This window comes from Homo sapiens, chromosome 2 (assembly GCF_000001405.40).
Source record: "Homo sapiens chromosome 2, GRCh38.p14 Primary Assembly".
In the NCBI taxonomy this organism is placed as follows: Eukaryota; Metazoa; Chordata; class Mammalia; order Primates; family Hominidae; genus Homo; species Homo sapiens.
Window position 1 is genome coordinate 40,697,433 of NC_000002.12, and position 16,048 is coordinate 40,713,480.

Below are 16,048 nucleotides of genomic sequence, written 5' to 3' on the forward strand. Positions count from 1 at the left end.
ATATTATTTCAATGTCAAATATATATAAAATTATTACTGAGATATTTTACATTATCTTTTCTTCAAAATCTTTAGCACTGATGTGTATTTTGCACTCACAGCACACATCAATTCAGGTTACTCACATTTTCAGTCCTCAGTAGGTACTTTTGGCTAATTGCTGCCATATTGGGTACTGAAAAGTTAGAGTATTTACTATACAGACTGTGTCTTTTGTGTATAACCCAAACTAAATCTTAAAATTACATAGTTAATTTTCAACCAAGGTGCACTTTTTTTCTGTTATTTTACTGTAAAATACTTTAGTGTGAGTAGCTGATGTGAGAAGTTTAGTCTTCAAAAAACCATTAATTTTTACAAAACAATTATTTAGCACCTATGATGTGTCATTCTCTAGTTGAGAGTTTGAAATACACAGATAAATAACACAGCTATGTCTACAAAAAAACACCCATTCTAGCAATGAAGAAAATCCTATGCATAATATTTGTTTCCTATGGGGAAAATTTAAGATGGCATTTAGTAAGTCATTGCTTCCAAAAAGAAAAATGAGCAGTCTAGGCCCAAGTGCTCTGGATATTCAGCAAAGAAGAGGCTCAGATTTGGCAAGACTTAGAATAATGTTTGTGAAAGTGACAGACCTTGAATGAAGACTTAAGGTATGAGTGAGATGAGGTTTGACAGAAAATTTTAACAAAACTAATAAAATCATGAAAATGAGGGTAAAATGTCATGGAATAGGAACAGGAAAACAATCAAATGCATGGAGTCACAGGTTAATGAAAGAAAAGTATGATATAAAAATTGGTAGGGCTTGGACAAAGCAGGCATTTTTCCTTGCCTTGAATGGAAACATATTGTGGTACTGTTCATGAAAGACTATTTAGAAAATTATAATGTGGAAATTTTCATGCACTGGTTGCCTTGAATAAACCCTTGATGGAAAAATCTCATGCCAAAGGCAATATATTTTAAAGGAAATAAAAACCTTTCAGGACTGTGGAGGCAGCAGGAGGCAATTCCATATTTGTTCCATCTCCTTTGGTTTTATCTTATTGTATGAAGATAAGCTAGAGATATTAGAATAATTTTTCATAGTGTCAACTCTCTAGAGGGCAAGTTGTCACTTTATACCAAGACTTGAAAAATTGTTCTTAACTTTTTATTAAACATTTCCACTTCTAGAATTTTATAAAATAACCAGAGAGCTCCACATTGAAGGCTACATGGAGATATCAATGGCATTTATAAAAATAACAAATTTTAAACAATGTCTAACATGTAGTTATTAGTTAAACATATTTTGTTCCACTAATACTATGTGCTGTTTTGAAAATAAACATAATAGTTTTAAGGATTGTTGGATTATATGGGTATTTACTCATGATTTAATTCTTAACTTTTATTGAAATATAAGCACATAAAATTACACATAAGGACACAACTGAAAGAATTTTTGCATCATTAAAACACTCATGTAACCAATATGTAAATCAATAAAGAAATATCAGCTCACCAGATGCTCCATTTACCCTCACTTCTAATAGCATAGATTAGGTTTTTCTGCTTTTTAAAGATTTTCTAACTTCAATCATACAGAATGTCCTCTTTTGTGTCTGATGTTTTGCTAAATATTACGTTTGGCAGACTTAATCCAAATTGTTTAATGTATTTACTTTCGCAATTATCATTGCTGTGTAGTTTTCTAGTATATGAACATGCAAAACCTTATTTATTCATTCTACTATTGAAGGATTTTCAAGACATTTTAAGTTTAAGCTATTATAAATAATGCTGTAAGGAACTTGTTTTTCATCTATTTAATTTTTTTTTTCATGAGCTATATGCATGTGTTCTATTCCTCTGGTTATTGCACTTATGAATAGAAATGAAATTGCTAAGTCATAGGATATGAAAAGATGCAACTTTTGTAGCAATTGACAAAAGTTTTTCAAAGCACTTGTACCAATGTTATTCTCAGCAGCAGTGACTGAAAATCCTGGTTGTTCCATATCCTTGATATACATTTGATATTAGCTGAATCTTTAAGTGATTTTGGTGAGTAGGAAATAGTATTGAATTTGGTTTTATTTTGAATTTCCCCTGATGGCTAATGAAGTTGATTACCTTTTTAATAATTCTGTTAGCTGCTGTAAAATCAATCATGTGAAATCTCTGTTCAAGTCCATTGCCCATTTTTCTTCTGAAGTGTCTGCTTATTATTTTTTACTAATTTATATATTCTGAATATGAGTGTTTTATTGGATACATGCATTACAATTATTTTTCTTCTTGGGTTTCTCTTTTCACTTTAATGATATTCTTTTGCATCAATTACACAGGTTTGGATGTTTGAAAATACAAGACGTTTGCAGGTGTTCATTTAAGGCTTTAATAAAAGTAAAGGTTATGGTAGCATAGAGAAAGAAAGCACAGGCAAACATTGGAGTCCCAAGAAACTTCCAGATGCAGCTCCTCAGGATCCTTTCTGAGTCACACAGGATATACTTTGTCTTCAGATTATAAACCCCTAATATGCTGAGGAAATGTGTGAAGTGCCAAGTTCTATCCTCAGAGCTATAAATACCGCATTGATCAAAACAAAGTCCTTACCTTTATGGAGCTTATTTATAAGCTGGATGGTAAAAAAGAAACAAATATATTAAAAAATATACAAATTTTCAGATAGTGATATGTACAGTTGACTAAGAAAAATGTAAGCCACTGTGAATAGGACATATTTGCTGTGGTGGGATGAGGTGCAAGGAATAAAAGGAAATTCTTTGATAACACGATGTTTGTATAGAGACCTTAATAAAATGACAGAACAGACAATACAGTTATATGTGGGAAGACTTCTCCAGGAAGAATAATTAGAAAGTGCAAATATTCACGAAAGAGCATGCATGGATTTTTCAAGAAAAACAAGTCTGGTGAGTATAGAATGAGCTGGGGTGGGGTGAGGTTGGGGAAAGTCATAAGAGATAAGCAAGTGTGGAGAGATAGCAAAGATCTAGATCACAGTAGTCATGGTAACAGCTAATTGAGACGGAAAAATCATCGTAGTGTAGTTAACAGAGGAGTGACATGATCAGACATATGTTTTTGAAAAGAGTACTGTGGCTGCTGTTTTGAGAATAGATTTTGGGAGGGCAATGGTGGGAACAAATTATCAGCCTAGGATGTTTCAGCGATATTTCTGAGAGAGATAATGGTCTTTGAGATCTGGTAATAGTGGTACAGATATGTTTTAAAGATAGGTCACTTATGGTTTAATGATTTATTAGAATCACTTAAGAGAAGAGTCAGTCAGTAATGACTCCTAGGTTATGCTGTGTGTCACCGTTACTGACAGCATGGAGTTACCATTTCCTGAGATGGGAAAGACTGTGGGATGAAAATCTTTTAGGAAAAATGGGCTAGTTGGTGGAAATTAAGAGAGCAATTAGGGGTATGTTAAATTTGAGATGCCCTTTAGTCATTCAATTGACAGTGTGAACAGAAAGTTGGACATACAAGTTTTAAGTTTATAAATTTGGAAATGAGTCTTTACTATGTGGAATTTAAAGGTATAAGACTATGTAAGAACACCCACAGAGTAAGGAGAGAGAAGAGAGAGAAGCAGTCTCTGGTCTGAACCCTGGGGCATTCTGGTTTAAAAAACGAGTAGATAAGAAGAAACCGGTAACACTGAGAAAATCAGGAGGCAGGAGGAGGAGGAGAAGGAGGAGGAGGAGAGAGAGAAAAAGAGACAGTGTCAGCCAGGCGATGTGGCTCAAGCCTGTAATCCTAACACTTTCGGAGGCCAAGGTGGGCAGATAACGAGATCAGGAGTTCCAGACCAACCTGGCCAATATGGTAAAACCCCGTTTCTACTAAAAATACAAAAATTAGCTGGGCGTGGTGGCCTGTGCTTGTAATCTCATCTACTTGGGAGGCTGAGGCAGGAGGATTGCTTGAACCTGGGAAGCAGAGGTTGCAGTGAGCCAAGACTGTGTCACTGTACTCCAGCCGGGGTGACAGAGAGAGGTTCTATCTAAAAAAATTAAAAGAAAAAAGAAAACAAAAAGAGACAGTGTCTGTGTGTGACAGAAACAGACAGATAAAGCTAATCAAAGAAAGTATATCAAGAAAGATGACATGACCAACTGCATGAAATGCTTTTGATAGACTGAGTAAAAGCTGGGAACTGACCATTGGCTTTGGCAATCTGAGCAATTAGAAACAGGGACTCCTTCAAGTGTGAGGGCAAAACATTGACTGGAATGAGTGCAAGAGAAATGGAGGAGAGGCACTGAAGACTTCATAGAAACATTTCTTTTGATTTGTTTTGCTGTAAAGAGGAGCAGATCTATAGGGCAGTAACTGGAATGGATGTGGAGCCCATGAATGATCCCTTAGAGGGTACACAATTTTGTATAAGAGAGAGATAGTGGGATCAATGAAGTAAACTAGAAATATCAGTAAGCCGAGTCTGAAGACCAATTTTTTATAAACAGATAGATTTGTTTGGTTGAGTGAATTTGTTCTCACATTTATTACTGCACACCAAGGCCTGAAAATTCTTTCAAATATATGCCTCTGATTACATCTCAAGTGGCTCACAAATGCATTGCTGGCTCAGGACAAAACCATCAAGGCAACCACAATTATTAAAAAAAGAAAAGAACAATTCTTGGTGTATGTGTGCTTCTCAGCAATTTGAGTTAGAAAATAAAGCATTAACTCATGTAGGTAAAATGATATTAAGTCTGTTTTTAAACTTTGTTGGCCTATAGAAGTTAGGTATTTGTTGAATACCTCTTCTTCAAGATAATACAGACCCTTTAGGAAATAACATCTGCCTTTGACTGAGATTTCTGTCTACACCAGGGACATGTAAAATTTTCTGGTAAAAACATTTTAAATTTTAGTTCACATAAGAGTCAGAAAAGTTAAAGTAATTAAGGAGTGAATAACTTTTGTTATATTATCAAAAATAGAATTTTCACTAACGGTTCTCTAATTGACACAAGTTACCTTTTCTGCTTTAAATGCATGGAGAAAAATAGATGAAGAAAAATCTGAGAACTAGGAGGTTTAATTGAAGAGTAAAAAAGTCCTACCACTCTCTAGGAGCTAAGCTATGAGGATGCAAAGGCATAAGAATGATACAATGGACTATGGGGACTCAGGGGAAAGGACGGAAGCAGGGTGAAGGATAAAAGAATACACACTGGGTACAGTGTACACTGCTCACGTGTTGGGTGCACCAAAATCTCAGAAACCACCACTAAAGAATTTATTCATGTAACCAAACATCACCTGTTTCCCAAAAACCTATTGAAATAAAAAAAAAAAGAAAGAAAGAAAAGTCCTGCCAATGTAATGTACCAGGTAAGCTATACATGTATAAATGTAAGAATTGACCTGCATTACCTTTACACTAACCGAAATTCATGAAATTTCCTAGGTATAATTTATATAATATTAATATTTACATTAATTTAGTGCAAATTGGGACTGTATTTTTCTTTAAATGTTCTCCCTTATACAGAAGGTGTTTTAAAAAATGATTCTGAAGTCATCATGTTTTTATCTTTTTCTCATTGGGATACAATTTCTCTGGCTTTTATCCATTTTGTTGTCTTCCACAATTCTACTGGATGTACATGACTTTTCCTACCTGTCATGTCTTATAATTTTTATTAGTTAACATTTCATGGAAACATAGATATTTCTTCCTTTTTGTTTCTTTTACGTGTATTACATTTTATTACAGAGTTTTGATTTTAATGTTGCTACATTTAATACTTTGAACAAAACATTTTATTTAAAGGATAATATGATGAGGTGTGTGAATGGCTCTGATCTCTCAAATTTTTAACATCTTTGGAAGAAATGTAGTCACTAACAGGGTGATTACCACCATGCACTTGGTGAATGATTAATTCGGATTGTAAACAGAGGACCAAAAGGGAAATAAGTGAAAAAGTCACCTATAAGTATATCAAGACAGTAATTAAAAAGTGATTCCCTTTTCTCTAGTCACCAACACAGTTTCTGCCTCACTAAAGTGGGTCTCCATGTCCTGTATTACTTATTTTTAGCATTTCTCATGGTTGTTGGTTGTATACTTTTAAAAATGCAACATTATATAAACTTCATTGGGATTATGGAATTAAATCAAATCAAAGAGTTGAATATATCTTGTCTACAGGACAATTCCAATGACTACAATTTTGGGGTCATATCTATAAGGCTAAAAACTTTCATCTATTTTTCCTTTGCATTTGTTTATCTGTCCATGGAAACACACATTTTTCAAAATTTAATGGAAATGTAATCTGTTCCAGGCGCTGTTCTAAGTCTTAGAGGTACAGCCAGTAACAAAACAGACACATGTCTATGCCTGCATGAAGCATATATTCTAGGGTGAAGGCTATAGAATAAAAATGGTCAAATAAGTTAAAATACAATATGTCATGAGTGATAAGTACTACGGGAGGGGAGAGAAAAAAGGAGTCTCATACCAGGCACAGATGGGTATTTTCTCCAGTGTGCTTAGAAACAAATGAGAAATAGACAACAGGTAATGAACAATAACCTGAGATTAGTCCAGATATCCTCCAAATGCAGGGTAGAGGCCAGGATGGAAGTGCTGTGGGAAAGGAAAGGGTAACTATTTTGCCAGCAAGTTGCAGAGTTTCTCTCTGCCCAGAGATACAGAGGCCAGGAAGATGTTCTACTCAGAGCACAAAGAGTTTCTCACGTCCCTCTTGACTCCTATGAGGGAAAATAGAAGGAAGAACAATACATTTTCTAGCATCCAGGCTATTTTCACTTCATTTCTATAATCCAACTTTTCTACTATTTTCTGTTCTGTTCCATGTGTGCATAAGAGTTTATCCCCCTGCCCTAAATTCTTCTGAAATCTTAGAGCTCTAGGGACAGATGAGTTTTGGATTTTTAGGTGAAATGTATATAGTGCAATCAAAATCCCCAGATTAAAATCTCTAAGGAGGAAATTTATCAGTCACTGAAGAAAGAAGAGTCTGAAGAATAAATCAGATGGAGAAAGCATTTAGAAAACCATCAATACTGTTTATAAAGGAGTGCTGCGGTTTTGAAAGAGACAGTGTTAGTTATACACGTACAAAATATTTCCTGCTCCTCACTTTCCCGGCTCATAATGCAGGTTCTGGTTTTCCATTGCTGCATAGAGAACCACCTTAAAAGTTAGTTGAGTAAACCAACAAAAATTTCATTATATTTTCTATTATGTGGGTCATACATGAGGCAGTACAGTGGGGACGGCTCATGTTGGCTCTGTGATAACTGGTGCCTCCTCACTTGTGGTGGCTTCAGTGTTCAGTTACAGATATGATGAGTTGACTGGAGCCACATCTCTGAGGCCTTGGATCAGGCTGTTGGATGTACTGTTCAGTTTTCCATGTTATGTCTGCTGGCTAGGCAACCCTCTCCATGCATCTTCCCCATGTGTCTCCATTCGACTTTCTCATACCATGGCAGTACTGGGGAAGTCACAAATCTTACATAGCAACTGCTCTGATGTGAGCATTCCAAGAGTAGAAAGTGGAGGTTGCCAGTCTCTTAAAAGTGATGCCTGGAAATTAGTGCTGATCATTTTCTTTTATTCTCTTGGTAAAACTAGTTACTAAGCCTGCCTAAATTCAAGGGGTGAGACTATAGAAACAATCTGTCAAGTAGAGGATTGACAAGGAATTCATAGCCACATGAAGACTACAATTTTTGACCCCCTGGTAGTTAGGTAGGTCTTTGTGAGCAGTTCTAATCAGAGCTATTTGCAGAAAGCCTGTACAGCTTGCAGGCGAGGGCATTTATTCTCCATTCAGTAACCTTCACATATTTCTTTCCCTTAGACACAGAGCGTGATAATATTTGAGATCTTAAACTGAGTTCCATTGCAAGTGAAGAAAGATGGAGCATAGGCCCCAGCCAACATAAAATGGATGTGTGGCATGAGTGAAATATAAACCTTATTAATTTAGGGAATTAAGATTTTGAAGTTGTTTCTAAGTGTACAACAACCTAATCCATCTGATTGATACACAGGCTTTGCATCTATTTTCTTGCTTATTTTCCCAAACTATTGAGATATGCTAACTGTATTATCAAGTGAGAAGATTCGATCATTTTTACATCTGAGAACAGATTTATTCAAGGAGAATTGTTGCTGCTTTCTAAACACACCACATATGGCAAAACAACCAAAATGTGATTCAAATACTTATTCCACCTTCTCTTTCTTGAAGCTCAACAGAGAAAAATTGTTTCATGCAGTATTTAGTTTTCACTGAGTAGTCAAAGCACCTCAAGCAAAATTTATCTTTATTAAACTTTCCTTGTTCTCTTAGCATTGCCTTATTCCTGTCAATGTCTCATAATTTATGTTTCTTCTCATTTTTTTTTCTCATTTGTTTCATCTACTTAAGTTTATTTATTGCAGGAATCAATTTCCAATGTTACATGTTTCAGGTTAGCTTCATGTATTTTACAGGAACTACAAATGACAGGGATATTACTTCAAGTTTACATTTAAAGGTCATTTGACCAAATAAGAAGAAAAAGCTAGTCTTTATGCTTTAAGTATTTTATTTCAGAGGGATAAGGTGATCAATGACATTTCTTCCCATATTTTTGCAGCTGAGCTTTTTGGAGAGGATTGATTAAAATTGTATGCTCTGCTCTCCAGATAGAAGGAGCACTCACTAGACAGCAACATTCACTGGGTTCGCCTTTTTAAAATGTACTAATTTGTAACCCTTAGAGCAGAGGTGAAAAACTAACAAGCTAAGACTTTGAATCCCAAATAAGGCGGAACATGTCCCCAGCAAACGTTCTATATTCATATTCATGTGACAAGCAGGAGAATTTTTAGGAGTAGTTATATCAGGTCAGTCAAGCATGGTAAAAACAGAAACCTTGTACAAGATTATAGAATGCAAAAATTGGAATTTACAAAATTCAATTTGCACTCAAATTATGTATTCTTTCCATAGTACTTCTGAGTGATAATCATATAGGACTTTATGGAGGTCTTGTGTGATAGGGAGGTTAGAAGATCAGAAGCAGTTCATTTCATGTATGGATAGCTCTAGGTATTAGAAAGTACATTATTTCATTGACATGAACTTTGCATCACTGTTAACTTGTACCCATGCATACTGTTTCTGACCCTTACTATGATATCAAAGTATAGCTCTCTCATGTTTCTTTCTAACATCTGAAATAACCAGTGCTTTGTCTATATGGCCCTAACGTGTTTTCACTATTAACTATAACTCTTATATGGAAAAATGTACCGAGTGATTCTAATGTGGATATATATGTAACCATCACACAAATCAATAAACAAAACACTGTCAGAAGCCAAGAGATGCACATATGTTCTTTCTCATACCACTCAGTCCATCTCCTCTAGAGGTAATTATTATCCTGATGAGGTATGTAAGAATTTCCTTATTTTTTAAATAAAAATAGATTTGTATTTCCTTATATTTATTTTCCCACGTATGTATGCCTTCCTAAATTATGCAATCGTTTTACCTGTTTTTTGAACTTCATTTTAATGGAAGTATTTCATTTGTATTATTTTGTGTCTTGCTTTTTCCACTCTAGTTGTAAGACTGAGCATGTTGTCTTGTAGTACCATAGTACTGTTTATTTTGAGTGCTTTTTAGTATGCTGTTGTATTAATATACTATCATGTATATTCATCCCTAAAGCCAGTGAACACGCTTATACATGTGTTCTGAACATTTCGATATATTTGTTTCTGAAGGATACATACTCAGTAGTGTGATTTCTCTGGCATAGGATATATGCATCCTAAATTTTACTAGATAATATCACAATATTATCCAAAATAATTATTCCAAACTATACTCCCACCACCAGCACGTGAAAATTCCTTTTGCTCCACATTCTCTCCAACATTTGTACTATTAGATGTAAAATTTATTTTTGTTTTGCATTTTATTTTTTAATTATTTATTTACTTATTACTGTAACAATATTTTTGCTGGATTTTGTTATATTTCATATATATATGTATATGTATACTTTAAATTCTGGGATACATGTAGAGAACGTGCAGGTTTGTTACATAAGTATACATGTGCCATGGTGATTTGCTGCACCCATCAACTTGTCTTCTATATTAGGTATTTCTTCTAATGCTATCCCTCCCCTTGGCTCCCACCCTGCAATAGCTCCCAGTGTGTGATTTTCCCCTCCCTGAGCCCGTATGTTCTCATTGCTCAACTCCCACTTAAGAGTGAGAACATGCAGTGTCTGGTTTTCTGTTCCTGTGTTAGTTGCTGAGAATGACGGTTTCCGGCTTCATCCGTGTCCCTGCAAAGGACATGAACTCATTTTTTATGGCTGCATATTATTGCATGGTGTATATGTGCCATATTTTCTTTATCCAGGCTAACATTGATTGGCATTTGGGTCAGCTCCAAGTCTTTGCTATTGTGAACAGTGCTGCAATAAACATACGTGTGCATGTGTCTTTATAGTAGAATGATTTATAATCCTTTGGGTATATACTCAGTAATGGGATTGCTGGATCAAATGGTATTTCTCGTTCTAGATCCTTGAGGAATCGCCACACTGTCTTCCATAATGGATGAACTAATTTACACTGCCATCAACAGTGTAAAAGTGTTCCGATTTCTCCACATCCTCTCCAGTGTCTATTGTTTCCTGACTTTTTAATGACGCCAATTTAACTGGCATGAGATGGTATCTCATTGTGATTTTGATTTTGATTTCTCTAATGACCAGTGATGATGAGCTTTTTTTCATATGTTTGTTGGCTGCATAAATGTCTTGTTTTGAGAAGTGTCTGTTCATATCTTTTGTCCAATTTTTGATGGGGTTGTTTGTTTTTTCTTGTGATTTTTTTAATGTTCCTTGTACATTCTGGTTACTAGCCCTTTGTCAAATGTATAGTTTGAAAAAAATTTCTCCCATTCTGTTGGTCGCCTGTTCACTGATGGTATTTTCTGTTGCTGTGCAGAAGCTTTTTAGTTTAATTAGATCCTATTTGTCAATTTTGGCTTTTGTTGCCATTGCTTTTAGTGTTTTCGTCATGAAGTCTTTGCCCATGTCTGTCCTGAATGCTATTGCCTAGGTTTTCTTCTAGGGTTTCTATGGCTTAGGTCTTACATTTGAATCTTTAATCCATCTTGAGTTAATTTTTGTATAAGGTGTAAGGAAGGTGTCCAGTTTCAGTTTTCTGCATATGACTAGCCAGTTTTCCCAACTATTTATTTAATAGGGAATCATTTCCCCATTTCTTGTTTTTGTCAGGTTTCTCAAAGATCAAATGATTGTAGACGTATGGTGTTATTTCTGAATCCTCTATTCTGTTCCATTGGTCTATATATCTGTTTTGGTACCAGTACCATGATGTTTTGGTGACCATAGCCTTGTAGCATTTTTTTTGCTTATGATTTGGCTGTTTGTCTATTCTTGGTGTATAGGAATGCTTGTGAATTTGCACATTGATTTTATATTCTGAGATTTGCTGAAATTGTTCATCAGCTTAAGGAGATTTTGGACTGAGACCATTGGGTTTTCTAAATATACAATCTGCAAACAGAGACAATTTGACTTCTTCTCTTCCTATTTAAATACACTTTATTTCTTTCTCTTGCCTGATTGCTCTGGCCAGAACTTCCAATACTATGTTAAACAGGAGTGGTGAGAGAGGGCATCCTTGTCTTGTGCCAGTTTTCAAAGGGAATGCTTCCAGCTTTTGCCCATTCAGTATGATATTGGCTGTGGGTTTGTCATAAATAGCTCTTATTATGTCGAGAGATGTTCAATCAATACCTAGTTTATTGAGTGTTTTCAGCATGAAGGGGTGTTGTATTTTTTTGAAGGCCTTTCCTGCATCTATTGAGATAATCATGTGGTTTTTGTCATTGGTTCTGTTTATGTGATGGATTACATTTATTGATTTACATATGTTGAATCACCCTTGCAACCCACGCATGAAGCACACTTGATCATGGTGGATAAGCTTTTTGATGTGCTGCTGGATTCGGGTTGCCAGTATCTTATTGAGGATTTTCGCATTGATGTTTATCAGTGATATTGGCCTAAAATTTTCTTTTCTTTTGTTATGTCCCTGCCTGCCAGGTTTTGCTATCAGGATGATGTTGGCCTCATATATAACATGAGTTAGCGGGACACCCTCTTTTTGTATAGCTTGGAATAGTTCAGAAGGCATGGTACCAGCTCCTCTTTGTACCTCTGGTAGAATTCGGCTGTGAATCCATCTGGTACTGGGCTTTTTTTGGTTGGTAGGCTATTAATTACTGCTTCAATTTCAGAACTTGTTATTTGTCTATTCAGGGATTCAACTTCTTCCTGGTTTAGTCTTGGGAGCGTATATATGTCCAGGAACTTAACAATTTCTTCCAGATTTTCTAATTTATTTGCGTAGAGATGTTCATAGTATTCTCTGATGGTAGCATGTATTTCTGTGGGATCAGTGGTAATCTCCTCTTTATTAGTTTTTTTTGTTTGTTTGTTTGTTTTTTTTTTTGAGATGGAGTCTCGCTCTGTTGTCCAGGCTGGAGTGCAGTGGCACAATCTCGCCTCATTGCAAGCTCCGCCTCCTGGGTTCACGCCATTCTCCTGCCTCAGCCTCCCGAGTAGCTGGGAATACAGGTGCCCGCCACTATGCCTGGCTAATTTTTTGTATTTTTTTTAGTAGAGATGGGGTTTCACCATGTTAGCCAGGATGCTCTCGATCTCCTGACCTCGTGATCCACCTGCCTCGGCCTCCCAAAATGCTGGGGTTACAGGTGTGAGCCACCGCACCCAGCCTATCATTTTTTATTATGTCTATTTAATTCTTCTCTCTTTTCTTCTTTATTAGTCTGTCTAGCTGTCTACCTATTTTGTTAATCTTTTCAAAAAACCAGCTCTTGGAATCATTGATTTTTGAAGGGTTTTTTGTGTCTCTATCTCCTTGAGTCCTGCTCTGATCTTAGTTATTTCTTGTCTTCTGCAAACTCTTGAATTTGTTTGCTCTTGCTTCTCTAGTTCTTTTAATTGTGATATTAGGGTGTCAATTTTAGATCTTTCCTGCTTTCTCCTATGGGCATTTAGTGCTATAAATTGCCCTGTAAACACTGCTGTTGCTGTGTCCGAGAGATTCTGGTACATTGTGGCTTTGTTCTCATTGGTTTCAAAGAACTAGTTCTGCCTTCATTTAGTTATTTAACCAGCAGTCATTCAGGAGCAGGCTGTTCATGTTCCACGTAGTTGTGCAGTTTTGAGTGAGTTTCTTAATCCTGAGTTCTAATTTGAATGCACTGTGATCTGAGAGACAATTTACATTCTTTTGCATTTGCTGAGGGGTGTTTTACTTCCAATTATGTGGTTGATTTTATCAATGGGTCTTGACTCTTTATCTAATTTGCCAGTGTGTGTCTTTTAATTAGGGCATTTAGCCTGTTTACATTTAAGGTTAATATTGTTATGTGTGAATTTGATCCTGTCATTATGATGCTAGCTGGTTATTTTGCCCATTAGTTGATGCAGTTTCTTCATAGTGTCAATGGTCTTTACATTTTGGTTTGTTTTTGCAGTGGCTGGTACCAGTTTTTCCTTTCCATATTTACTGCTTCCTTCAGGAGCTCTTGTAAGGCAGGCCTGGTGGTGACAAAAATCCCTCAGCATTTGCTTGTTTATTTCTCTTTCACTGTTGAAGCTTAGTTTGGCTGGATATGAAACTCTGGATTAAAAATTATTTTATTTAAGAATGTGAATATTGGCCCACACTGTCTTCTAGCTTGTAGGGTTTCTGCAGAGAGATCCCCTGTTAGTCTGATGGACATCCCTTTGTGGTGACTCGACCTTTCTCTCTGGCTGTCCTTACCATTTTTTCCTTCATTTTGACCTTGGTGAATCTGATGATTATGTGTCTTGGGTTGCTCTTCTCGAGGAGTATCTCTGTGGTGTTCTCTGTATTTCCTGAATTTGAATGCTGCCCTGTCTTGCTAGGTTGGGGAAGTTCTGGATAATATCCTGAAGTGTGTTTTCCAACTTGATTCCATTCTCCCTGTCAGTGTCAGGTACACCAATCAAACATAGGTTTGGTCTTTTCACATAGTCCCATATTTCTTGGAGGCTTTGTTCATTCCTTTTCATTCTTTTTTCTCTAATCTTATCTTCACACTTTCTTTCATTAAGGTGATCTTCAATCTCTGATAACCTTTCTTCTGCTTGATCAATTCAGCTATTGATACTTGGTATGCTTCATGAAGTTCTCGTGCTGTGTTTTTCACCTCCATCGGGTCATTTATGTTCTTCTCTAAACTGGTTATTCTAGTAAGCAATTCCTCTAACCCTTTATCAAAGTTCTTAGCTTCCTTGCATTGGGTTAGAACATGCTCCTTTAGCTTGGAGGAGTTTGAATTAACCCCCTTCTGAAGCCTACTTCTGTCAATTCATCAAACTCATTCTCCATCCAGTTTTTTTCCCTTGCTGGTGAGGAGTTATGATCCTTGGGAGGAGAAGATACATTCTGGTTTTAGGAATTTTCAGCCTTTTTGCGCTAGTTTTTCCTCATCTTCATGGATTTATCTACCTTTGTTCTTTGCAGTTGGTGACCTTTGGATGGAGTTTTTCTGTGGTCACCCTTTTTGTTGATGTAGATGCTATTGCTTTCTGTTTGTTAGTTTTCCTTCTAACAGTCAGGCCCCTCTGCTGCAAGTCTGCTGGAGTTTGCTGGGGGTCCACTCCAGACCCTGTTTTCCTGGGCATCACCAGTGGAGGCTGCAAAACAGCAAAGACTGCTGCTTGCTCCCTCCTCTGGAAGCTTTGTACCAGAGGGGCATCTGCCAGATGCCAGCTGGAGCTCTCCTGTATGAGGTGTCTGTCAACCCTGTTGGGAGGTGACTCCCCATCAGGAGGCATGGGGGTCAGGGACCCACTTGAGGAGGCAGTCTGTCCCTTAGCAGAGCTCCAGCTGGGAGATCCCCCAGCAGGCAGATCCACTGGGAGATCCGCCAGCAGGCAGGAACGTTTAAGTCTGCTGAAGCTGCGCCCACAGCTGCCCCAGATGCTCCAGATGCTCTGTCCCAGGGAGATGGGACTTTTATCTATAAGCCCCTGACCGGGGCTGCTGCCTTTCTTTCAGAGATGCCCTGCCCAGAGAGGAGGAATCTAAAGAGGCAGTCTGGTTACAGTGGCTTTGTGACGCTGTGTTGGGCTCTGCCCAGCCCAAAATTCCTGGAGGCTTTGTTTACACTGTGAGGGGAAAACTGCCTACTGAAGCTTCAGTAATGGTGGATGCCCCTCCTCTCACCAAGCTCGAGTGTCCCAGGTCGACTTCAGACTGCTGTGCTGGCAGCAAGAATTTCAAGCCAGTGGATCTTAGCTTGCTGGGCTCTGTAGGGGTGGGATCTGCTGAGGAAGACCACTTGGCTCCCTGGCTTCACCACCCTTTCCAGGGGAATGAATTGTTTTGTCTCTCTGGTGTTCCAGGGACTGCTGGGGTAGAAAAAACAAAAAACAAAAAACAAATAAACTCCTGCAGCTAGCTCAGTGTCTGCCCAAACGGCCACCCAGTTTTGTGCTAGAAACCTAGGGCCCTTATAGTGTAGGTACCAGAGGAAATCTCCTGGTCTCTGGGTTGCGAGGACCATGGAAAAAGCATAGTATCTGGGTCCGGATAGTACGGTCCCTCAAAGCATAGTCCCTCACGGCTTCCCTTGGCTAGGGGAGGGAGTTCCCCAACCCCTTGCACTTCCCAGATGAGGCAACACCCCATCCTGCTTCTGCTCACCCTCCGTGGGCTGCACCCACTGTCTAACCAGTCCCATTGAGATAAACCAGGTACCTCAGTTGGAAATGCAGAAATCACCGGCCGTCTGCATTGGTCCAGCTGGGAGCTGCAGACTGGAGCTGTTCCTATTCAGCCATGTTGCCCGGGAGCTCTAGATGTGAAATTTCTACCCAATATGATGAGAATAATTTTAATTTGTATGTCTGTGGTAAT

At 37.5% G+C, this 16,048-nt stretch overlaps 1 long non-coding RNA gene across 5 annotated transcripts in view; it reads right to left on the reverse strand.

Moving 5' to 3' along the window:
- Window positions 1-16,048, reverse strand: part of LOC105374497 (uncharacterized) — a 291,527-nt gene that overhangs the window by 18,692 nt on the left and 256,787 nt on the right. The window lies entirely within an intron of this gene.